Raw genomic sequence first — 26,555 nt, 5'->3', positions numbered from 1 at the left:
ACAAACGTTTATGCAGCATTTTTATAACGGAAATAACTCAAATGCCTACCATTATGGATCTTTTAAAAACAAATGACAGCAAATACAATCAATGGAACACTATGCAGCTGTTAAAAAAATAGGGAAGCATTTTATAAACAGTTATAAAAACAACCTCAAAAATAAGTTCTTATGTCACAAAATATCAGGGTGTGATTATCTTTTTAGCACCCCCATATATCTGCTTCTGTATGCACTGACCATTCCGAAAAGGTAAGTAAGGAATGGGTGATGCATATCTCCTCTGGAGATGGCTGGGGGTCAGGGACAGGAGGGAAATTACACCTTCAGCACCTTTTTGTGCCTTTTGCATTTTGAATCATATATGTGAATCAACAACGGAAAAAAATTAAAACGCGATTATGGTGTTTCTCTGTTAAGCACATGCACATGTGTGTGCTCTCTCTCTCACACACACACACACACACACACACACACAAACACACACTTCTGTTAGATACCCCACAGCCTGCCAGATACATGACAAATTATTTAGAGTGCCTCACCAGGCCCTTCCCAGTACAACCCCAGCTGATCTCCCAGCCAATCTCAATTTCCCAACCTCTCTCCCTCCACCCTGAATTTCTCACCCTCTTTCCAACCCAGGCAGAGGGAGGGTGATGAGGTGTCATGAAAAAAATGAAGACATTGAATCAGAAAAACTTAGTTATTTCTTCATAACTGACAGGCTCTGTGACCGTAACCACTCTGAACTTCAGTTTCTTCATCTATCAAACGGGAAGAATGATGTCCACTTTCCTGAGGTTCTTGGAAACATGAAACGAGATAACGCTTGCAAAGCATTTGATACATACGGCGCATTCAACCAATGCTCCCTCCCTTCCACCTCCCTTTCCTATTTGTGCCTCTATCTTTGCTCAGTACTCTCCACCTGCCTGGAATCCCTTTCTCCTACTCCTCTTGGCAAACCCCACTCAGACTTTTTTTTTTTTTTTTGAGACGGAGTCTTGCTCTATTGCCCAGGCTGGAGTGCAGTGGCACTATCTCGGCTCACTGCAAGCTCTGCCTCCTGGGTTCACGTCATTCTCCTGCCTCAGCCTCCCGAGTAGCTGGGACTACAGGCGCCTGCCACCACGCCTGGCTAATTTTTTGTATTTTTAGTAGAGACAGGGTTTCACCGTGTTAGCCAGGATAGTCTCGATCTCCTGACCTCATGATCCTCCCGCCTCAGCCTCCCAAAGTGCTGGGATTACAGGCATGAGCCACCGTGCCCGGCCTCAGACTTTTAAGGTGAAATTCAATGTCATCACTGGTCCCTTGCTCTGCACTGTATCTCCTTTCTTATAGGATGTATCAAGCTAGATGTCATTTTCTGCTTCCATTTCTGTCTCTACTACCAGACTAGGAGCTCCACAAAAGCAAAAACTATTTTGCCTTTTTTTTTTTTTTTTTTTTTTTACCCCCAGAGCTTCGCAGAGCATCTAAGTTTAAAGAGCTGGTTCAAGTTCAGAAAACCACTAAAACAGAGAGTCCAGTTAGGGACTTCCTGCTTTCTTATCCATGCTCACCTGGCCCATTACTTTTGGCTGTTAACACTCTCATGGCATCTTGCTCCCTTGTATATTTTTCTACAAAAGGGAAATGGACTTTTAAACAGAAGGAAAGATTCATAAGATGAACACTTTCTTCATGACCATCCACCAGCTACCCATGCTGTGGAGAAAAGTTGCAGGTGGTAGAGTAATGGGAAGGTGAACATTTCTTTAGTGCATTTAACACCTGCTTGAAAAGCAAGAAGCCCTTGCCCAAGCTATTTCTTCATATCAAACCCTCATATAGCATGCTTGCATTTGTTAGCCATATAGCATTTTGTAATTTACTGTGGGGTTTAGCCTAAGCTTTTCTCAATTGATGAGAAAGCAAATGAAAGCAGAATTCTGAAGCCAAGAGGGGTCTAAAGTCAAGTCACCAGCATAGTGTTAAAGAATTCTTGGCCAAAGAGTGCAAGTGGTGTCAGAACATCTGACTCTGTCAAAATATGTGTCAAAATTCATGGCCCATTGCATCCCAAGGCAATCTGCACAGATGAGTTCCTGCTTTCCTTGATCTGAAATTCTTGTAGGAAGCTAACATATCATCCTGTAATAAATGCAATGAGAGGAGTGCTTATGGGAGCCTGACTCAGACTTGAGGGATCAAAGAGACTATGGCAGCTGTGATCTGAGGGTCTAGCAGGGTTGACCTAGGAGTGTGGACAGATGTGTGTGTGTGTGTGTTAGTGTTGGCAGGAGATAAGAATGGGCCTCACCATAAAGGGCCTTGGGAACCATGTCAGTTTATCCATTCAACAAATATTTATTGTGCTTTCATAATGCACTGTGATTGAAATATAACATAGGCTGGGTGCAGGCACCTTGGATGGGCCTGACTTAATCACATGAGCCCTTTAATTCTGGATAGAGAAGCCAGAGACAAAAGTTACCCGTGAAAGGGATTTGATGCAAGGGAGAGTCTGCATGGCTGGTTTTGAAGATGAATGATCTAGAAACAGCATGTAGGAGTTGAGAACGGTCCCCTAGTGGCAGCCAACAAGGAAACAAGCACCTCCGTCCTATACCCGCAAGGAATTCAACTCTGTCAACAACTTCCTTGAGCTTGGAATAGAACTCCAAGCTTCAGATAAGAACACAGTCTGGGCTACATGCTGATTTTTTCTTGTGATATCCTGAGCAGAGAATCCAGGCACACCATGTCCATATTTCTCACCTATAGAACTATGAGCTAATAAATGGGTTTTGTGGGAAGCTGCTAGGTTTGTGATAAATTGTTATACAGCAATCAAAAGCCTATATATGATATTTCACCACAAATTCAGATTTGACCAATATTTGGACATGTCCTCATAGGTTAGGGATGTTCATATGTGCCATATTTTTAAATGTTCCCTTTAATCCTTCATGAACAATGGTACTCTTAGTTGACATCGCCAACATACCCCTTCTCCACCATGAAGCAGTTGTGCTCTTTAGATGGTATGCTCAAAATCCCCAGCTGAAATCCATTAGCAATTCCATCCCACCTGCTATGGTGGTTGGTATAGAGAATGTGTGACTGAGGCCTAAGATGAACAGTGCCTGGTATCCGGGCCAAGCCAAAAAATTGGTTTAGGCGTGAGTACATGATGTAAGTCAGTCCAGTCAGGATGATGTACAATAATTTTGGCCAGTGATTGGAGAAGAGAAGTTCTCTATGCGATATGCCTCTGGGAGGCCTGGAACAGCTGCCACCATCTTTCTTCCAGGAGAAAAGCAAAAGAAGAAGGGCAGAAACCAGAGACTCAGAGAGAAATGCATCTGGAACCCTGATCAAACCATGCCTGAAGCTTATGCCACTTACAAAGTTTTTAGTAGCCACGAGCTAATCATTTCCTTCAGTATTTAAACCATTTTGAATTGGGTTTTCAGTTATTTGCAAATAAAGCCATCCTAACTGATACATTATTATTTTTATTAGGCAGATGAGAAACTGAAACTTAGGAATTATTTGCTAGAAGTTACAAAGCTAGTAAGTGGCAGAGTTGAGATCTAAAATCTAATCCTTTAGCCACAAGTTTATTGCTTGTTCTATTACACAAGTTGCTGCACCTAATTTACCTTTGTCCCTTCCTACTAGTAGATATGCTTTGCTCCCCCAGGAAAAGAAAATCACTCTAGCCTTAGGGATCCCCCCTTCTAGTCACTGCTAGAAAGGGACTCCCAGCTTTACAATCTACATGTTTTCACACCTCAACTTCTGGCACCATGCTATTTTCCCGACCACAATAATTTTACCAGAAAGGGGCCCCAATCCAGACCCCAAGTGATGTTCCTTGGATCTTGCACAAGAAAGAATTTGGGGCTAGTCCATAAGATGAAAGCAAGTTTATTAGGAAACTAAGGGAGTAAAGAATGAGTAGTCCATAGGCAGAGCAGCCCCAAGGGCTGCTAACTGGCTGTTTTTATGGGTATTTCTTGATCACATGCAAAACAAGGGGTGGATTATTCACGAGTTTTCTGGGAAAGGGGCGGGCAATTACCGGAACTGAGGGTTCCTCCCCTTTTGGACCATATAGGGTAACTTCCGGATGTTTCCATGGCATTTTTAAAGTGTCATGGCACTGGTGAAATTGTCTTGTAACCTGCTAATGCATTATAGTTAGTGTATAATGAGCAGCGAGGATGACCAGAGATAACTTTTCATTGCTATCTTTGTTTTGGCCGGCTTCTTTACCTCATCCTGTTTTATCAGCAGGGTCTTTATGACCTGTATCTTGTGATCTCCTATCTCATCCTGTGACTAAGAATATCTGATTTCCTGAGAATGCAGCCTAGTAGGCCTTCGCCTTATTTTACCCAGTCCCTATTCAAGATGGAGTTGCTCTGGTTCGAACATCTCTGACAATGTCAGCATATCTCTAAAGAGAAATTTCTGTTTTTACTCACTGCTTTTTCTCCAAAGGGTCATAACACGAAGTCCTGTGGGAATAGCACAGATCTTTCCAGTTAGGGGGAGAATGGGGGCTCAGGCCAGCACAGCCAGTGAGGAAGAGCTCCCCAAACACCCCGGGAGCCAGTCTCCGGAGAAAGCTTCAGGAGGTGGGCAGTGGGTAAACAAAAGAGAAAACTCAGAGATAAATGAGAAGGTGCCCCCGTCTTTAGCAAGAAAATATCCAATTCATCAATGTCCAGACACCCCCACCTCCTACAGGGCTGACATCTGAAACAAAATTAAGTAACCAAATACAAGTTCCTTCCTGTCAGTAGAAGGCAATATTATTAGCAAATTAGCAAACACATCCATCAGTGGTAAAAGAAAATCAATGGGTTTTGGAGTTTTAAAAAAACAGGAAAAAGGCTAGAACTAACAGCAGAAAGGTAATACACCCCTTAGAGAGCTTGACGTTTCTTCCATGGAGATTATGGTCCCAGCCAGCTTCACACCCCCACTCCCACTTCCTTACCCAGAAAAGAGGGGACCTCGCCCTCTTTCCAGACACTGCAATGGCTTCCCTCTGCTCCCTGCTTTCAGGAGCTAAGCTTTGGAGTTATTTCTTTGCTTGCACAATGGCTGGCCAAAGCCACAAGCCCCCCGGCCCTAAAGGAAGTCTGTTGGAGACATCTCCTTTGAAGACAGGGAGCAAGGGTCGACCTGGTGATTTTTTCTTCTGGTATTCCCCCTCCATGGCAATGAATGGATATGCAGTCAAGAAAGAGCCTTCAGATGGCTAAGCCGGCAGGAGGGATTGTACAGTTCCCTGCTTTTAGAAAAGTATGTAGGATAAGAAAAGTGACAGCAGAGACCTAACAAGGAATGGCTCCACCCTGCCCCTGAGCTGTGAAGCAGCTGGTGGACCTGGGAAAGCGGCTTGATCTCCCCTCCCCTCTTCTCCTCTCCTCTCTCCTCCCCTCCCATGTCTTTTTCTTTCTTCTTCCCTTCCCTTGCCTTTCCCTCCCTTCCCTTCCCCTTTCCCTTCCCCTTCCCTCCTTCCCTCCTTCCCTCTCCTTCCTTTCTTTCTTTCTTTTTCTTTCTCTCTCCTTCCTTCCTTTCTTCCTTCTCCTTTTCTTTTTTACTTTCTCTTTCTTTCTTTCTTTCTCTTTCTTTCTTTCTGTCTTTCTTTCTTTCTTTCTTTTCCTTCCTTCCTTCCTTTTCTTCTTTCTTTCTTTCTTTAAATCTGGTAAAAGCTACAAACACTATCCTCAAAAAAAAAAAAACACACACACACATTTTCTGAGGATTCACACACACAATGGGGGCTCAAGTACCCTTTGCTTTAAGAAAATTCACCATGCCCTGGAGTCAGACCCACCTGGCACCCTTCTGCACTGAAGTGCAGCTGAGGGCATGAACCTGGCACTTTCCATGAGGGCAGCAGAGGTTGCTTTGAACTAACCAAGGGGGGCTTAAGTCATGGGATGGAGCACAGCCTCCTTCCGACATCTGGAATTTTAATGAGCTTGGATCAGGCCGGCAGACCCAGAGAGCATGCTTTAGGGCCCACAGAAAAGTTTTTTTATAAGCATCTTTGTCCATTGTCCAAGCATTCAGTAGGCACTCAATAAAGATGTTTAAGAATGACCTTATTTTGTTGAAGAGCAGATTCCTTTAGCAATGGACATTGCTAAATGCCTTCGCCTCTAGGGATTTGGGCAATGTACTAAAACCCCCTCCCTCGTTCTACTCAATCATCTTATTTTTGCCTCATGTAAAGCCCAGCTTAACTTTCAGAGGAGCACATGACTATCAGAGGCTGAATGGCCCCCTCCACTTCCGGGGGTGCTGGCATAGGTAGAGTACAGCCAGGCACGCACACATCTCCAGCTGGGTTCACTTGTCTTTCTGGAATCCCATTAGGTCCCAGGGGACAAGTAGAGCGCCTGATACCACTTGCCCTAATCCAACCCTGATCCACCATGTGAGGAGAGAAGAAGGCAAAGACTCACAAGACCCCATCTTCCCCCACCTTCAATACAAGCATTCCCGAGTAATACCCATTTCCAAAGTCAGCCCTCCTTTCCACTTCTCTGCTGTGTTCCAGACACTGACTGCCCCTTTTCTTGGAGCCATGAACAGCACCCAGAAGGAGGCTATTTTTGGTTCCCCTTTAATTAACCTCCTCTCTGCTCAGAACAGGCTTCTCCCTCCCCTGTTACCCAACTCAATCCCCCCTCCAGGAGTTTCTCTTCCTTACAGGGATTAGGAGAGTGTGTGGGGAGCCCATTTTCTAATGGTGTCCTTGGGCATCCAGGAGTAGGGAGAACGTCTAAGGGACAGGTGCAGAAAAAGCTCAAGCACCTTCCCCACTTCTGTCCCCTGTACAGGATGGGCCCCTCATCCCTGGTTCAAGATGTGTCCTCCAGGGTGCAGTGTGCATGACTCATTTCCGGAGTCTCAGTCAAGAGAGCTCTTTTCCCTGCCTCCTTGACAAGCTGGGGACTCTGGGGGATTTTCAGTTTCTTCCCTGGTATAGGTATTGCCACAGCAAGAATTGCACCTGTTCCAACAGGAAGTACTGTTTATGATGATACAAAGCTTAGAGAGATTCGAGAACATCAGAATCTGAAAATAACTCTAGAAGATTCCTCCCTCAATATCTGCATTTGACACATAAGAACACTGAGGTCCAAGGGAGTGAGGAAGGAAAATGCATTTTCTCCATTTGACATCACCATCTACCTGACATTCAAGTGCTTTTCAACTCTAGGCCAAGTCGCTGCACCTAGGTCTTTCCATTTTAAAATATTATATTTTTTATTTTTTGTAGAGACAGGGTCTCACTACATTGCCCACGCTGGGCTCAAGCGATACACCTGCCTTGGCCTCCCAAAGTGCTGGGATTAACAGGTTTGAGCCACCACGCCCAGCCAGTAGCTATTTCCATTTAAGAAATGTCCATACCGAACAAGTTTGCTGGAATGACTGAGGGCATAGATATTGTGTCCAGAGTTGTTTCCTTCCAGTGGGTTCGCGGTCTCGCTGACTTCAGGAATGGAGCCACAGACCTTCAGGGTGAGTGTTACAGCTCTTAAAGGTGGTACGGGCCCAAAAAGTGAGCAGCAGCAAGATTTATTGTGAAGAGCAAAAGAACAAAGCTTCCACACAGTGGAAGGGGACCCAAGCGGGTAGCCGCTGCTGGCTGGGTGTGGCCAGCTTTTATTCCGTTATTTGTCTCCGCCCATGTCCTGCTGATTAGTACATTTTACAGAGTGCTGATTGGTCCATTTTACAAACCTCTAGCTAGACACAGAGCGCTGATTGGTGCATTTTTACAGAGCACTGATTGGCGCATTTTACAAACCTCTAGCTAGCCACAAAGTGCTGATTGGTGCGTTTTACAATCCTAACTACAGAGTGCTGATTGGTGCATTTTATAATCCTCTTGTAAGACAGAAAAGTTCTCCAAGTCCCCACTGGACCCTGGAAGTCCAACTGGCTTCACTTCTCAATAGAATAGTGCAAAAAGTTACCTAGCACAGACAGAAGCCAGGCTCAGAAAGAAGTGAGACTTCTGTCTCCATATCACAGATAATATGTGGTAGACAAAAGCTTATGACAACTGGGGCAATGTTAACAAGGACAGCCAGTTAAGCTAATTCCTCTTCCACATGCTGCGTCTCCAGTGGAGTTTGCCAATCCTGGGCAGTTACTGTGGACGTAGATACTTTTCAAATGGAAAGGACAACTCTTAACATGTGAGTAGGAAATGAATAAACAGGGAAACTAATCCATTCCAACAAGGACGATGCAGCTGGCTGTGGCCTTTGGGCCTTTTAAAATCTCTAGATAAATAAAACTAGTTCTAATGTACCAGTTAAGTATTAAAAACAAGCTTTAAAAAAATTCTTATGATTTAGCTAATAGAACAGTGCAATCAAGAACACAGAAGGCTCTGAGCAGCAGTCTCTTCTTTCAAAGATGGCCCCACCATCACCACGACCACCCAATCAGGAAGCAGGGCACATTTCTCTTTGCTCCGCACAGACAGTTCATCTTTTTCTTCTCACGCTACCCACAAATGTTTGCCTGGCTTCAGAATTTTCAAATAATTTTTGATTTTGGTCCACAGGTTCCCTGGTGAAGACTCTAGTCCAATATAAATCACCAGAAGTGCAAGGGAAGTTGGATCTCACTCGTCTGTCCCGTCAGGACTCAGCTTGGGGGTAGTCAAGGCTTCTCCACAGGATGATGTGGGCACTGGGATTCGCTGGGGGCAGTCCGCAGCCTCCGTTCTTCTCTAGCTTGGGAGAGAAGAAAGGCACAGCCATGGCCCTGGCCCTGGCCCTGCATGAGGCAGCCACATGCCTACCCTGGTGGTGACTGTCTACTCTTCTGACAGATTTTCTTTCTCATTCTCTTGATGAGGCAACCCTAAGGTTTTTACTAATAGTGACTCTTACAAATGAGGGGCTTCAAATGTAATCCGGAGGAGAAAAGGTGGTTTAGAGACAGCGTGAGGAGAGCTGTAGGGTACCCCAATGCCAGTCACTGCATTCAGCAAATATCAACATTGATTTAATGCCTGCCCTGTACCTGGTACTATGTCCACAAGTACATGAGTAGGACAAAGTCCCTGTTTTCTAAGAGCTTGAAAGCTACTGGAGAAGACAGGGAGGCAAGCATGTATTTTTAGCATATGATAATGGTTATAATAAAGGATGAACAAAACTTGATAGGGACCCAGAGTAAAGACCTCTTGTCTGTTCTGGATGAAAGGGAGTTTCTGAAGGGGTGACACTTGCCCCCAGAAGGAAAAGATGACCAAGAGATCAACGGGGAGAGGAGATGAGAATGTGGATACAGCAAGGTGTTGGGGGCTTTCCGAGCCCAGGAAACAGCACACAGAAACCAACAGGAAATCAACCTGGCATGCCAACAAGTGTGATCCCTAAATCCTCTCACCTTCAGGTTTTCCTCTAGACAACAGTTCTTCCTCCAAGCTGCCCTCTATGATTATCCCCACCCAACCTCTCAGGGATCCCTTCCTAATCACAGTCCCCCTTTCCTGCCTTTTTGCTGATCTGCATTTTCCACTTAGTGTGAGCTCCATGAAGCGAAATCAATGTTGGTTTTGTTCACAGTTTTAGCTCAAGGCACATTGGATGTAGGAAGTGGTATGTAATAATCTCTCAAGAAATAGTTTCTGTAGGATTAAGTCAAAATTTCTACCAAAATTATATTGCATACATTTTCTGTATATTGCATATTGCGGTGTTTTCTTGTGTACATATGTATATAAGCAGGAAAAAAATCTACAATGTGCTCAAGGAGTTAGTTAATTTTAACTAACATTGTTAGGAGTTAGTAATTGCAAATGAAATTATCCAGCATTTGCAATTCCCGTTATGTGAGATCTAGTTGGAAAAACAGGAGGCCTCGAGACTCAAGGTCTATCTCCGTCACTAAGAAGTTCTGTGACCTCGGATAAGGTACCTCACTTCTCTGGGACTAATTTTCCTTCTCTGCAAAATAAGGGGATTTCAGAATTGTGTTTAACACTTATTCTCATCCTTATCTATGACTCTTATTTCCAGAAGCCTAAAGCAAAACCTGCCTCCAGAATTTAATGCAGCTGAAATTACGTTCAACCACTAACACTCTTGAAATCTTCTCATTGAAACACCTCCTGAAACATAAGCTTTCTTTTTGCCTTTCAAATAAAAGCTTCCTATTGAGCCCGATTCTCTATGAGAACATAGGACTCTGGCTCAAGGAATGACAATGACGTGGCGTGGGTGAGGATGTGGAGAGAACAGAGCTGGTAGAGCTTACTTACTTAATTAGCTGAGAACAGAGGGACGTCTGTGACTGTGTCCTTCTGTTCCCGGGACCTTTAGGAACCACAAAAGTGTGGCACATGCTGAGTTGGAGGATGTAACCTACCAGCAAGCTCTGGACTGAAAGCACATTCTCTTAATTTCACTGTTGTTCAAGGAGTTCAGGTATATTTAAAATAAAACAAACAAAAACAAAACACTTTTATGTAACCACACAGTATCTCCTCCAACTTACTGGGGAAATTGCAGTTGTGTGTTCTAAAACTATAGAAATGACTTCTTTAGCTATAGAGCCTACTGATATTTTAAATTAGAACCAGATTCAACAGATGAAAATTACTAGCTGAATAGAAGGCATTGGCCTTCCAGTGAAACTAAGGTGCCAGCTATATTCACGGTTTTTGAAACTGTGAGATTCAAATGGGTAGTCTCTTGAGTATGGGGATGAAGGTTAGAATCTGTCACCATCACAACTTGAAACTAACAGGCATCCAGGAAAAACTGGGTATTTCCTATCTTCCACTCCCTAAAAAATTACACACCAAAGACAGATGTAAATGTGTTGCTAACGAGGCTAGAGCCTTTTCTAAACATTAGTCAAAGATTTAGAATACCTCTCCAAAAGGAAGACCTTCGTTTAGACAGCAAAATGAAAGATGTTATAATCTTGGAAACTGAAGCATATCTGTTTTGACAAGTAGTATCATTATAGAAGTTTTAATAACTTGGCAGGGTGCAGTGGCTCACGCCTGTAATCCCAGCACTTTGGGAGGCCGAAGCGGGCAGATCACGAGGTCAGGAGATCGAGACCATCCTGGCTAACACGGTGAAACCCCGTCTCTACTAAAAATACAAAAAAAAATCGGGCATGGTGGGGGGCGCCTGCAGTCCCAGCTACTTGGGAGGCTGAGGCAGAATGGCGTGAACCCGGGAGGCGGAGCTTGCAGTGAGCCAAGATTGCGCCACTGCACTCCAGCCTGGGCAACAGAGAGAGATTCTGTCTCAAAACAACAAAAACAAAAACAAAAAACAAAACAACAACAATAACAACAAAAACTGGCCAGGAATACTGGAAATGGAGAGAGAAATTATCAGAATGTGTTGGTGTCTCCAGTGCTGATGAGAGCAGAGCATCTGCCCCTTCTGGACTGCATTCCCTCTAGGGAGAATGGATATATCAAGCAATGATAGCTTGAAGGCCTAATTTCTTTATTAAACTCTATACCCACTAGGCAGCTTTCTCACATTGATTTGGCTTCTTAAGTACATTTCCATATGGAAAGAGAATGTGCAAACCTGCCAACAAGAGCCTTTCAGGACCTCCTTTGGAAATCTAGTTTTCACTAAAAATTGATGATTTGCTATTTTTGTTTCTGTAACTGGTTATAGGGAGAAGGCCTGGAAATTATCGCCAGGCCAATGCAAAATTACAATGGTTATCTGGAATGGTATATTTCCAGAGGTTATATATCTTCTAAGCTATATGTCTATGTGTAAATGTGCATTCTTCTAAAACCATAAGCGATTAACTTCTTTTAATCTATAACTAAGGTCTGAGTCCTGAAGACCTTCCTCTGGAGCCTCAGTAAATTTACTTAATCTAAATGGGTCCAGGCGCTGGGGTGATTACCCTTATCTTGTCTCCTGCTAAACCACGGACCTTTGAGGAGTTTCTTGTTTGTGGAGGCCTGGGGAGTTTCTTCGGACCCCCCATAAAACTTGTTTAATCCTAAATGGATCCTGTTAAGAGTTCCTCCATTATTTTGTCATGCTTTAAGGCACAGGAAAGGCCTAGGCAAAACTCTTGATGGGCTTTTGTTATATCCCAGCCTTTGCATGAGGGCACTGGCTTTCAATATTTAACATAACCACACAGTACTGAAACCGTTGTTAGTGAGACCTGGCCTGCCACACCTGAAGAAACTGACAATAGTTTCTGAACCTTGCAGCAATGCCACTAGGAAGCAGGCATCCTGGGAAGCTGACATTGAAGCTGACATTGACATATTTCCTTACTTCAATTTCGAGCTTTCTGTGCCCATGATATGAACTAGTTTTGGCAGGATGCACATCCCAATGTGTTTCCTCTGAAAGATTTTCTAGAACATTATCCAAAGGAATGATTGGAAATAAACAAATATTTATGGATAGGGAAGACAATACACATGATGCCCTTTTGAGTTATAGATTTGGTAACTTGCAATGAGAGGATCAAGCCAAAACAATTACCATGGAAAGCACTCAGTGGATATTTATTGCTCACGCCTGTAATCCCAGCACTTTGGGAGGCCAAGGCGGGCAGGTCACAAGGTCAGGAGATTGAGACCATCCTGGCTAATATGGTGAAACCCCATCTCTACTAAAAATACAAAAAATTGGCCAGGCCTGGTGGCATGCGCCTGCAGTCCCAGCCACTCCAGAGGCTGAGGAGGAAAATCTCTTGAACCCAGGAGGCTGAGGTTGCAGTGAGCCAAGATCGCGCCACTGCACTCCAGCCTGGGTGACAGAGTGAGACTCCATCTCAAAAAAAAAAAAAAAAAAAGAGATATTTATCTATGCAGTGTCTACCATGTGCGAGGTACTGTGAGGGATGTGAAAGGAAAATAAATCTTGAGGCCCCCAAATCACTAAGCTAAAGGGAAAAGCCAAGCTGGGAACTGCTTAGGGCAAACCTACCTCCGGTTTTATTCAAAGCCACCCCTCTGCTCACTGAGATAGAGGCATATCTGATTGCCTTTCTTGGAAAGGCTAATCAGAAACTCAGAAGAATGCAACTGTTTGCATCTCACCTGTGACCTGGAAGCTCACTCTGGCTTTGAGTCTTCCTGCCTTTGCTTCAAGTTGTCCCGTCTTTCCAGACCAAACTCGTGTACTTCTTACATATATTGATTGATGTCTCATGTCTCCCTAAAATGTGTAAAACTAAGCTCTGCCCTGATCTCCTTGGGCACATGTCCTCAGGACTTCCTGTGACTGTGTCACGGGCACATCCTCAACCTTGGCAAAATAAACTCTCTAAATTAACTGAGACCTTTCTCAAATTTTGAGGATTCACAAGGATATGGAGCTGAAACAAACACAGGTTTCCTTCCAGGAACTTTCAGGCTAGAAAAGGAGAGAAGATAATTTGTGTAATAGAAAGCAGACATTGATAAGCACTATAAAAGATAGGATTGAGACCGAGTGTGGTGGCTCATGCCTATAATCCCAGCACTTTGGGAGGCCAAGGCCAGTGGATCATGAGGTCAGGAGTTTGAGACCAGCCTGGCCAACATGGTGAAACCCCATCTCTACTTAAAATACAAAAATTAGCTAGGCATGGTGGTGGGCACCTGTAAACCCAGCTACTTGGGAGGCTCAGGCAGGAGAATCACCTGAACCCGGGAGGCGGAGTTTGCAGTGAGCAGAGATCACACCACTGCCCTCTAGCCTGGGCAACCAAGCAAGACTCTATCTCAAAAAAAAAAAAAAAAAAAGATATAATTGAAATGCTAACAGTTCAGAAAAGAAAATATGATTTATTTTAACAAACATTATGTATCCAGTATGGTTCTAAGCACTTACTATATATTAGCTCACTTAATCCTCCTAACAACCTATGAGATAAGTACTATTATTGTCCTCTTTTTACAGATGGGGAAACTATGGCACAGATACAGTAAGAAACATAGCCAAAGTCCCATGGCTAGGAGGTGGCAGAGCTGGGATGTGAATCGCATTGGTCTGGTTTCAGAATCCTTGCTCTCTGCTACTACCCACTGTCTTGCAACTGGCAGCTGGAGGGACCCAGGGAAGCTTTCAGGAAGGTAGGAATATTTACACAGAACCTCGAAGAGGGTGGGTGGCATTTGGATATGCAGACATGGAAGGAAGTACATTCCGGGCAAAGTAAACAGTGTGAAGGAAGGCAGGGAGTCTAGCATGCTTGGAATTATTGTTTCCTAGTAAGCCAACAATAGTCCTAAAGCCTTAGCACAAGTTCAAGTTCAGAAAGAATAACTTGTCAAAATAAAGAATCTGAATAAAAGGTCAAGCATGAGGGCCAAACAATGGATGAGAATCTAGCCTTTTGAACTTCAATTTCCACAATTTCCATTAATTCTCTCTATCCCAATCTTTAGCTGAGTAATTGACTCAAAAAGAAGGCATGACTTTGATAGGAGCAAACTATATTAGAGCCATTCAAATCATATCCTGACATGGCATGGAGCCAAAGGCAGGGCTAACCATTGCCCCAGAACCTTAGAGTTTGGTATTTCCTGATCTATGGGGAGGGGTAAACAGACCACATTTATTTTTATATATCCTACAGCAGAGGAGAAGGCAATACTAGGCAACCAGGGGTCGTGTTCTCTTTCTTAAGAAAAAGTCAACCCTATTTCAAAAGTAAGGTCTCTTCCAGTGTTACAAGGTCATCTCATGAGGCTTTAAAATCAACTGAATCACAATGGTTGCACTCTTCGTGAGCAACGAGATTACTTACTGAGTATTAGCATTGAGTACTGAGATTGAAGAAACAGTTAAAGGAAAATGCATATTATTACCTTTAACTGAATGCTGGGTTGCTTCATTTCTATCTCCTGAATTGGGATCACAATTAAAAACCAGGAAGACTGAATAACAGGTACGTGATCCCTCAAAAGTGGACTCGGGACAAATGAGTAAGAATGCTAAGCCTCTGGACCCAGACTGTTCCCTTCCAGGGCAATGTGTGTATGGTTTTAGCTGCTTCTTCTTTCTTTTTTTATTTTTTATTTTTCTTGAGATGGAGTCTCTCTCTGTCACCCAGACTGGAGTGCAGTGGCACGATCTCGGCTCACCACAACCTCCGCCTCCCGGGTTCCAGCAATCCTTCTGCCAGAGCCTCCCAAGTAGCTGGAACTATAGGTGCATACGACCACGCCCGGCTAATTTTTGTATTTTTAATACAGACGTGGTTTTGCCATGTTGGCCAGGCTGGTCTCGAACTTCTGACCTCAAGTGATCCACCCTCCTCCGCCTCCCAAAGTGCTGGGATTACAGGTGTGAGCCACTGCGCCCTGCCTGCTGTAGCTTCCTTTGACGCATGCACCAGCCTCTGGCTCATGGCTTCAGATTCTTGCAGAAGACACGGAAGGTGCATGAGGATGATGCCAGTAGATCACATTTGACTGAATGTGGTCCAGATGTCAGGCCCTCAGGTTTGCCATCCACGTCCCTAGAGCCTGCCTGATGTGAGGAGAAGCCTGTGAGCTTTGGCTCCAAATTGACCTTGGTGCAAATCCCAGCTCTGCCACATACTTGCTGTGCAGCCTACAGGAGGTGACTGATTGACTTCGCTTGGGTGAATCTCAATTTGCTCACATGGAAAGTGGGGATTAGAACATTTTATTTAAGAGGTGATTTGAAAAAATCAAATGAGGCAATCTGATACGTAACAGATGTTCAAACTCTTCACTCCCTTGCCTTTCTTCTCTGACTCGATAAAGTCACCACATCCTCACAGCACCATGCATTCAGGGCATACAACATTATAATCACTTCTCGTGTCATTCAACAAGAGCCAAAACCTTGAAAATCAGAGACTCAACCCTTGCAAAGTAGAAAAGAAGCAGAGCTAAGCCCTAAAAGTAGAAGTGAAATTGGAGAGTGCATGGGAAATACCAGTAAGAGAAAGCCACCAAGATGTAGTTGTTAGCATCTTACTCATTATTTTCTGCATCTATTCACATAGATGTATTTACATAATTTAGATTAAATTATGCATAAAATATTATCACTTGAAATTTTCAGTTAATTTATCATTAATTTTTCATGATGTTGATTATTATAATATGTATTCAAATGGAAAATAACTGCTTTTCCTCCCAAAGTGCTGGGATTACAGGCATGAGCCACTGCGTCCAGCCTGCTGTAGCTTATAACAGTGCATTCAAAAATAAAAACATGTATAATAAATTCAAGTAAAAATCATGCCATCAATTCATACTTGACAAAGGTGATAGTCCAAATGAGAAAATAGAAAATATTTTCACTTAATGGTGTTAGAGCAATTGGTTATTGACTTGGGAATGTTTTTCAGTTAAATTTTTATTTCACAACATAAACACAAAGAAATAATAGATGTATTATAGTGCTAAATATGAAAAGCAAAACTAACAACCATTAGAAGAACACATAGATACATATTTTCCGGATCTTGAGAAAGAGGAGGTTTTAAATATGTAAGATAATATCAATAATCGAAGTATTTGTTGTTAAAAATCTTGTAAACCATTAATCAAAAGATAAACAACCAAAGAAGAAAATGGACGAAGCTTATGAACATGAATTTTCCAGAAGAAATGTCTTAAAAGCGTAGGTAAAAGTGATCAACTTTGTTAGTGATCGGAGAAATGCAGACTAAAACAACATAAAGAGAAACTCCTTGAGCTCAGGAGTTTGAGACCAGCCTCGTTGGTATAAAAATTTTTTTTAATTTAAAAAAATTATAACAAAAAACATAAAGATATAGTCCTTCCCTGTCAAACCAGCAAAACATTAGAAGATTTGTGATATGATTCTATGTTGACAAGAGGGTAGAGAAATGGCTTTCTCACCTAAGATGAGGGGAGAGGTAAGTTAGTGTCACGTTTGTGAAAGACAGTTCGGCAGAAACTATCAATACTTAAAATGAATGCATTATTTTACCTGGCGATTCCACTTCAAAACATGTATTCAGAGAATACACACAACGTTTACAAAGGGAACCAAACAAGGTGTTCACTGGTGCACCATGGCTTGCGATTGCAAAAGACTGGATGCTGACTAAATGCACATAAAACAAACCAGAATGCATCTATATTTGGTAATACATGCATATTAATGGTGACCATGCAGCAGCTAAAAAGGACAGGAGGCCAGGCGCGGTGGCTCACGCCTGTAATCCCAGCAGTTTGGGAGACCAAGATGGGTGGATCACAAGGTCAGGAGGTCGAGACCAGCCTGGCCAACATGGGAAACCCCATCTCTACTAAAAATACAAAAATTAGCTGGGCATGGTGGCAGGCGCCTGTAAATCCCAGCTACTTGGGAGGCTGAGGCAGTGGAATCGTTTGAACCAGGGAAGCGGAGGTTGCTGTGAGCTGAGATCGTGCCATTGCATTCCAGCCTGGGTGACAGGGCGAGACTCTGTCTCAAACAAACAAAAAAAAAAAGGACAGGAAAGTTATATGTACTGGCACAGAAAGAATTTCAATATTGCCAAATGAAAAAAGCAAATTGCAGAATAATATACATGGACTAGTCTCACTTAATTTAAAGAATACATACAACTAAAACTGTCAGTCTAGATGTGTCTTTAAAGTCTGGAAGGACACAAACAAAACTGAAAATGATAGTTATCTCTGGGGAGGAAGATAGGATTTGGTGGGGTGGGCAGAAGAGAGAAATAAAAAGAACTTCTGTGTTTTCATCTATGCAGTTTATTCCATATTGCTGGGAGTTAAAAGATTGAGAATCTATTCAGGCTGAGTGAGGTGGCTCACACCTGTAACCTCAGATCTTTGGGAGGCCAAGGCAGATGAATCACTTGAGGCCAGGAGTTCGAGATCAGCCCGGCCAACATGGCGAAACCCCATTTATACCAAAAAGTACAAAAATTAGCCAAGTGCGGTGGCTCACACCTGTAGTTCCAGCTATTCAGGAGGCTGAGGCACCAGAATTGCTTGAACCCAGGAGGTAGAGTGCCAAGATTGTGCCACTGTACTCCAGCTTAGGCAAGAGAGCGAGGTCATCTCAAAAAAAAAAAAAAAAGAATGAGGAGAATACATTCCTGTATTATTTTTGTATTTATGGGTATGTAGACAGAGCCAGGATTGAGGGGTGAGGGAGACAGAGAATTCCAACACATAGAGCCAACCAATGCCAGCCTTTGGGTGAATTATCTTTTCAGACATCCCTCTATATCATGTATATATAGAGAAATTGAGATACATAATGTGCAGAAGTGGAATTTATTCATAATTTATGCAACAAATACTCATGATGTTCAAGGTTCTGGTGTGCAACAGTAAACTTACATTCCCTCACTTTAGGTTAGTGAGAATGAAAGATAATAAAAAACAAAAAATATATATAATTCAAGTGGATGTAAGTGTTGTGAAGAAAATACACCAGTGATCATAATAGAAATGCAATCTATTCTCGGCTTGTCATTATATTTTAATCTTTTTATGGCCTTTTGTTCTGATATTGGTACATAAAAGTTTAAATCCTAATGTATTAAAAAAGTTTAATATCACTATAATTTCAGAACTTTATATCATGCTTATCATACCATCCCATAGTATGGGAATCTTTCCATTTCAGTAAATGTAGATCCACAGTAATATTTTTAAGGGCTATGCATTCCATTGTCTAGATGAACCACAGTTCATTGAAACAACTGTCCGATGATGAACGCTGAAGTTGATTTTACGACTGTATCTTTGTGCACTTATTATTTTCTCAGATGATTTCTAAAAGTGGAATTTCTGGATGTTTCAGTGGTGATCATTTGTGTCTAAAGACATTAATTTTGCATTTAAAAAAATCTGTCAACCTTACGGAATTCAGTATTTCCAATAATTTTATTTTCTTGCACATTTCAATGATGTGATCAGATCCCTTACAAACAATGAGTTTCCTTCCTTTTTAAAATGTTGAAATTATATTTCTTCACTCTTTTGTCTAATATATATATTAGACAAAATATATTTGTATTTCTATTAGACAAAAATATATATATTTATATTAGACAAAATATATATATTTACATTAGACAAAATGTATATAATATATACTTATATTAGACAAAATATATATTTATATTAGACTATATATATATACATATTTTTATATTAGACAAACTGGAGTCTCACTCGGTCACCGAGGCTGGAGTGCAGTGGCGTGATCTTGGCTCACTGCAACCTCCGCCTCCCAGGTTCAAGCGATTCTCCTGCCTCAGCCTCCCGAGTAGCTGAGATTACAGGTTTCTGCCACCATGCCCAGCTAATTGTTGTATTTTTAGTAGAGACAGGGTTTCACCATGTTGCCCAGGCTGGTCTTGAACTGCTGACCTCAGGAGATCTGCCTGTCTCAGCCTCCCAAAGTGCTGGGATTACAGGCATGAGCCACTGCACCTGGCCTTGTGTAAATATATTGACTAGCACTTTCAGAGCAATGTTTAAGAAAGTAGTGGTGCCTGGGACATTGTTTTACTCCCAATTTGGGAGGGCATGTGCCTCATGCTTCACCAGTCCTATGCCTTGATTTCTCATGGCCGCACTGAACATACGGGGTGTGACGGCAGATACAATGCTGTGGCACTGTGCACATGATACTGAAGAGCCTCCTTCCATGCAGTAAATCATCCTTTGGGTCGGGAGGGGAGCTGTTCTAAATGCCTCAAACTTCAGCAGAGAACTGGGATTTTTCAGTCTCAGAACTAGAGCCCCATATCCAACGTGCTCCAGGTAGTTTCTTTTTGCCTTCTGGGGAAGTGCTGGGAACGCAACTTAAGGTGTTTGTAGACACTGCCCCTCTTAGAGCCTGAAATGCCACAATTTAAGCTCTAAGCCTTTTTGTTCTCTGAGTGTCCTCTAGAAAAGATAACATCTTCAACCCTTTTGGTTTTCAGGGATTCTCTGCCAGTAGCCCTGGGGGTGAAAGGAGGTCAGCAAAGGGACTTGCCGGATGTCCGAGTAGGAAGAAGATTGCTATAAGGAGTCCAATCCAAACCTCACTCATTTCACAATTTTACCGGAGGCTCCTCTTGCTCTCCCCAGGGCCCTAGAACATTATCAAACCTTGGTGAAGAAAGCTGACACCTTTGATTGTCTGCTGGGTAACTTGATGAAAGAGGGCAGTCCTTGGTGCCAGAAAAGTCTGGCCAATTTGTCACAGGTGTGAGCCTGGAGGTCTTCAGCTCTATAGTGGAGATCGTAAAATCCATTTCACAAGAAAGGCATGTTCTTTCTTACACGCCTTCTCACAGTTCAATAACACACAGAAGACTCCTAACCCAGTGCTAGAGAAATGTTTATTGACTTGTCCTCCCCTTGTTGTATCCTCATTTTGTGGCAGTGGAGATTCTTGGGTGAATCAGGGCTACTGTGGTCCTGTGTATATGTGTAATTTGCTCCCTTGGAGGTCCCAGAATTTCATACTGCATTGGAGTAGGCTGGAAACAGCAGAAAGTAATTTTATTATTATTATTATTATTATTATTATTATTATTATTATTATACTTTAAGTTTTAGGGTACATGTGCACATTGTGCAGGTTAGTTACATATGTATACATGTGCCATGCTGGTGTGCTGCACCCACTAACTCGTCATCTAGCATTAGGTATATCCCCCAATGCTATCCCTCCCCCCTCCCCCCACCCCACAACAGTCCCCAGAGTGTGATGTTCCCCTTCCTGTGTCCATGTGATCTCATTGTTCAATTCCCACCTATGAGTGAGAATATGCGGTGTTTGGTTTTTTGTTCTTGCGATAGTTTACTGAGAATGATGGTTTCCAATTTCATCCATGTCCCTACAAAGGACATGAACTCATCATTTTTTATGGCTGCATAGTATTCCATGGTGTATATGTGCCACGTTTTCTTAATCCAGTCTATCATTGTTGGACATTTGGGTTGGTTCCAAGTCTTTGCTATTGTGAATAATGCCACAATAAACATACGTGTGCATGTGTCTTTACAGCAGCATGATTTATAGTTCTTTGGGTATATACCCAGTAATGGGATGACTGGGTCAAATGGTATTTCTAGTTCTAGATCCCTGAGGAATCGCCACACTGACTTCCACAATGGTTGAACTAGTTTACAGTCCCACCAACAGTGTAAAAGTGTTCCTATTTCTCCACATCCTCTCCAGCACCTGTTGTTTCCTGACTTTTTAATGATTGCCATTCTAACTGGTGTGAGATGATATCTCATTGTGGTTTTGATTTGCATTTCTCTGATGGCCAGTGATGGTGAGCATTTTTTCATGTGTTTTTTGGCTGCATAAATGTCTTCTTTTGAGAAGTGTCTGTTAGGTATTGATGGGACATATTTCAAAATAATAAGAGCTATCTATGACAAACCCACAGCCAATATCATACTGAATGGGCAAAAACTGGAAGCATTCCCTTTGAAAACTGGCACAAGACAGGGATGCCCTCTCTCACCACTCCTATTCAACATAGTGTTGGAAGTTCTGGCCAGGGCAATTAGGCAGGAGAAGGAAATAAAGGGTATTCAATTAGGAAAAGAGGAAGTCAAATTGTCCCTGTTTGCAGATGACATGATTGTATATCTAGAAAACCCCATTGTCTCAGCCCAAAATCTCCTTAAGCTGATAAGCAACTTCAGCAAAGTCTCAGGATACAAAATCGATGTGCAAAAATCACAAGCATTCCTATACACCAACAACAGACAAACAGAGAGCCAAATCATGAGTGAACTCCCATTCACAATTGCTTCAAAGAGAATAAAATACCTAGGAATCCAACTTACAAGGGATATGAAGGACCTCTTCAAGGAGAACTACAAACCGCTGCTCAAGGAAATAAAAGAGGATACAAACAAATGGAAGAACATTCCATGCTCATGGGTAGGAAGAATCAATATCGTGAAAATGGCCATACTGCCCAAGGTAATTTACAGATTCAATGCCATCCCCATCAAGCTACCAACGCCTTTCTTCACAGAATTGGAAAAAGCTACTTTAAAGTTCATATGGAACCAAAAAAGAGCCCACATCACCAAGTCAATCCTAAGCCAAAAGAACAAAGCTGGAGGCATAATGCTACCTGACTTCAAACTATACTACAAGCCTACAGTAACCAAAACAGCATGGTACTGGTACCAAAACAGAGATATAGATCAATGGAACAGAACAGAGCCCTCAGAAATAACGCCGCATATCTACAACTATCTGATCTTTGACAAACCTGACAAAAACAAGCAATGGGGAAAGGATTCCCTATTTAATAAATGGTGCTGGGAAAACTGGCTAGCCATATGTAGAAAGCTGAGACTGGATCCCTTCCTTACACCTTATACAAAAATCAATTCAAGACAGATTAAAGACTTAAACGTTAGACCTAAAACCATAAAAACCCTAGAAGAAAACCTAGGCATTACCATTCAGGACATAGGCATGGGCAAGGACTTCATGTCTAAAACACCAAAAGCAATGGCAACAAAAGACAAAATTGACAAATGGGATCTAATTAAACTAAAGAGCTTCTGCACAGCAAAAGAAACTACCATCAGAGTGAACAGGCAACCTACAAAATGGGAGAAAATTTTCACAACCTACTCATCTGACAAAGGGCTAATATCCAGAATCTACAATGAACTCAAACAAATTTACAAGAAAAAAACAAACAACCCCATCAAAAAGTGGGCGAAGGACATGAACAGACACTTCTCAAAAGAAAGTAATTTCTATAATAATAAAGGAGTACTAGGAAACACCTGCTGTTTTTGGCCTCTTTCATTGTTACCTAATGCAACAGAGACTGTGACCAGGACACTGTGGGCAAATCAAGTCAGTGAGGCAGTGGGAGGACACTGAATCCCACCTTCATGTTTCCCTCTTAATTTACCATGCTACCCAGAAGGTTTCTGGGGCAGATTCTCTTTCTCTACCCTATTGACATCAGAGATGAAGGGCCGAATGGGAAAATATGCATATTGTGAGTCAAGCAATTGCTGTGTCAGGCCTTGGCCACTGCTTGTTTATGATGATGGCACTCAAATGTCCTAGGAAAGAACAGTCACAGTTGCTGCCCCCCGGGTGATGACATGGGGTCTAGAACAGGGTAGTAAACATCACTCCCATCTTCTGTCTAAGGAACTTTTTCTTATGAGGGAAGCTATTATTAACTCAAAGACTGAGATCACTCAAACGGGAGAATCACTAGGAGTACTGAATCAAATGGTAGGGATGGCCGTCCCATTTTGGGTCCTAATAATAGAATTGTAGCCCCATGAGGGAAAATGTTCCCTTTGGTCATCTCCTTGTACTGTGGCTGATGCAGCAGAGAAAGGGCTGGAACGAGGTCAGAAGGATGGCCTCAGTGCAGAGGCTCTCATGAGTGCTGACCAGGAGAGGAGACCTCAGTCTAGTAACTGGAGTGCAAAGGAGCGGAGATGGTGAGGTTGCAAAGAAGAGCATCGTGCTGTGCTCTCAGGAGGAGCCTTGAGCCATCCTAGGAGCCCAGATGTCCCAGGAGGGGACAACTTGTAGGGTTAGGGTCTGGTGTTTCAGCTCACAGGGGAAGAGCCAAAGACATCATCACTGAACATCCCTCGAGGTCAATCACACTCAAGAAATGCCTGCCTTACACCCCTTCCAGGAAAAGACAACTTAAGCTTCCCAATGGCATCCATAAATTATCAGTTTCAGAACTTCCCAGTGAAATGAGCCCCCTTGGAAGTCACTGTTACTGTTTGTTCTTCCCTGAGTTAAATGTCGGGTGGGCTATGTTTGAAGGGACACAAACCTTCAAATTTTGCTTTCATACCAGAAATCATGAACACAAGGAAAGTAAAATCCCCAACCGGCCAAGATATCCTGTGACACTGGGACACACTTTCCTAATTTGGTTTCTTCAGTAGTTGATTTCCAGAGTGGGAATCTGTGGGGTCAGTAGGTGTCCCCTCCACCAAGTAACAAAAATGGTGGTGAAAGGAGACCAAGCATATAAATCACAGTGTTCTAAACGTGTCTTGAGGCAGAGGGACCCTGCCACTCGCTGTCCTTATCTCTATTCCTGCGGCAAAGCCTCCCTTAACAGATACCAGGGAATGGCTGTTCTAACACATGGAGAAAATCGATCACTTTGGAGCACTAGGTAGGTGTTCCATCGGGAAAGATGACTTTTCCTTTTTACAGAAAGCAGCCACCTCTATTCTATGCCTGGGGTGAGAGCTGCCCTCAGGGTGGATTGTAAAAACAAGGCTGGAATGGAAGGAAAAACTTACTCCTTTTGAAACAATAAATAGAACACAGAATAAGCTAGCCCTCCTCCACATGCAAACCGTTTTCCCCTATAGTTTAGCCAAAAGGCCTTTCTTGCATTTGATCACTTTTCTGCTTCGTCTGAAGGGCAGGCCCCGTGAAGGCCCCCATGAGCACTTCAGAAGAACAGGGAAAGCCAATCTAGCCACAGTGAGTGTGGAGGTTTCTGATTAGGCCAAGTTCTTTCTGCTGCAAATTCCGAATTACAAACCAGAGAAGTTAACCTTGGCCTCCGCTTTTATTTGAAACTGGGGTGAAGCAGATTCTGGAGGTGCAGGCAACCAGGAGGCCAGAGAAGGAGGCCAGCCAGCCCACAAAGAGTGAGAGAGAGGGCAAGTGGGCAGCAGGAGGCAGAAGACCACACCTGTCCGAGTCAACATCCCAGGGGTTTCCAGTCCCTGGTTCCAGGTCATTCTTTGACCTGGATTCTGGGAGACACCCCGAACCCTTATAACAAATTGGCCCTGTTTAGTGCTGAAGTGAATTTGAACTGGGCTTCCGTTGTTTACCACCAAGAGGGTTTTTGCTAAGACAGAGGCCAAGGCCATTCTTTACCTGGGCTGCTTGCCCACACCTGCATCTACAGTGCTGACCTCATTGCCCTCATTCTTGGTGCTGGCCACATCCCCCGGCCACTTCTACCTTACAGTGGTTGGGGTTCCTCGTATCTGAGTCACCTCTGAGTCTCTGTGACCTGGGAAGGCCTTCTGGCCTCTCTCTTGCCATAAGATTGCAGGTGGCTCATTGTCATGCAAGGATGGTGGGAATACTTAAGACCTCAGGATCCTTGAAACGCATCTCACCTGGACAGGATTGTTGTATGAATGAACCCAGCACTTGCTCAGCAGTCCATGGAAGCTGTTCTTTCACTAACATGTGTTTGGGACCCTCTGCCACCGGGGCCCTTTCTCAGCACTTCAGCCCAGCTAAACAAAAGCCTCCCTGTAGGAGGGAAGTCTCATGACTGGAGATGTAGGTGAAGGGTCCAGTATCTTCTGGCAGAATCAGGCAATTTACAGGGGTGATGGGGCTGAAAAAGAAGGAGTCTTGGAATGAGGAGTCCTGGATTTCAGAGCTGGCTTCATCATTTGCTAGAAGCATGGCTGTGGTCCAGCCATCAAACTCACTGAACTTCAGTTTCTAGATCTGTGAATGAAGGGTAGACATGATCTCCCCTCTCCCACATTGTTGAGAGAATTCAAGGGCACAATTTTTAAAAGTGCTTTGTAAGCCACAAATCCCTACTCAAATAGTGTCGCTATTAAGTAATATGGTATCAAAATGTTTTCACACTGCACTCAGATGTGCAATATCAATGTAACCTCTTATTTTTCATATCTGACCTAGTCTTCCCAGGTGTCCCCCACCCATCTGGGAGAGAAGACCAACAGCAGCTACAGCATTGATTTCAACTGGTCAGGTGAGACTCTAAATGCTTTATATATTTATTTCTCCTGCACAGCAACCTACAAAGTAGGTGCAAATATCATCTCCAATTTAAAGAGCAGAAAGGAAACTCAAACATGGGAGCGAGAAATGTGTGAGTCTCTCCCTGCTCCTATAGTTTCTTTTCAGTTTAAGATTGTCTTTTTCACAAAAACACCCGGAGTTCTGCCCTGCTCCGTCCTCCTCTCCCAGATGGCCTCTGGGTAGTAGTGGGAGAGCTTGCTGTGCCCTTGTGGTTGCAGAGGTGGCCTCCCCTCATCATGTGCCCCTGAGCCCCTCTCTGTTCTTGGGGGGCACTGTAGGGCATGGTACTCACTGTCTGGCAGACTCCGCAGATCTTAGGCAGAAGGTTCGCCGAGCACTCCTAAGGCTGACTCAGCCCCCGCTGTCTCTAACTGATGTTGAATGTCTGCCTGTGACTGTCCCAGAGCACTGCTGCCCTCCAGCCCAAAAGGTCCTCCTTGAAGCTTCCACTGTGGCAACACCCAGCGTTAGCTCACCCAACCAGTCCCCTCTGGTCATCCAGCTCTCCACACGCAGGGACTCCTGGAATCCTTTGAAACCACGTGGGGGAACTCTGCACAAAGGCAGATCCCATCCATTTTACTCTGATGTAGTCAACCCAGAACTATATATTGAGCCCCTAGTATGTCCCAGGCACTGTTCTGGATGCTCATGATCAGGGAACAAAACTAAGATCCCTGCCTTGGTGAAGCTGATGTGCCAGCAGCTCCATGACAATGAAGGGGGCACCCTTTGAGGTGGTCTCCCCACCCC

The 26,555-nt window shown here is 43.3% G+C and overlaps 1 long non-coding RNA gene across 2 annotated transcripts; it reads right to left on the bottom strand.

Annotated features, from left to right (window-relative positions):
• Window positions 1-18,879: 18,879 nt before the first annotated feature.
• On the bottom strand, window positions 18,880-26,215 carry LOC105379352 (uncharacterized). Of its 2 annotated transcripts, none has more exons than XR_001745862.3 (3): window positions 26,095-26,215; window positions 25,136-25,478; window positions 18,880-20,490 (listed from the first exon to the last, which is right to left on the bottom strand). It is a non-coding gene; the product is annotated as an uncharacterized LOC105379352 (long non-coding RNA). The 2 variants fall into 2 exon arrangements; XR_949626.4 differs by having other exon boundaries at window positions 25,136-25,362.
• Window positions 26,216-26,555: the final 340 nt, after the last annotated feature.

Source organism: Homo sapiens, chromosome 8 (genome assembly GCF_000001405.40).
Source record: "Homo sapiens chromosome 8, GRCh38.p14 Primary Assembly".
Classification (NCBI taxonomy): domain Eukaryota; kingdom Metazoa; phylum Chordata; class Mammalia; order Primates; family Hominidae; genus Homo; species Homo sapiens.
This window is presented reverse-complemented; position numbering and strand designations above follow the sequence as displayed.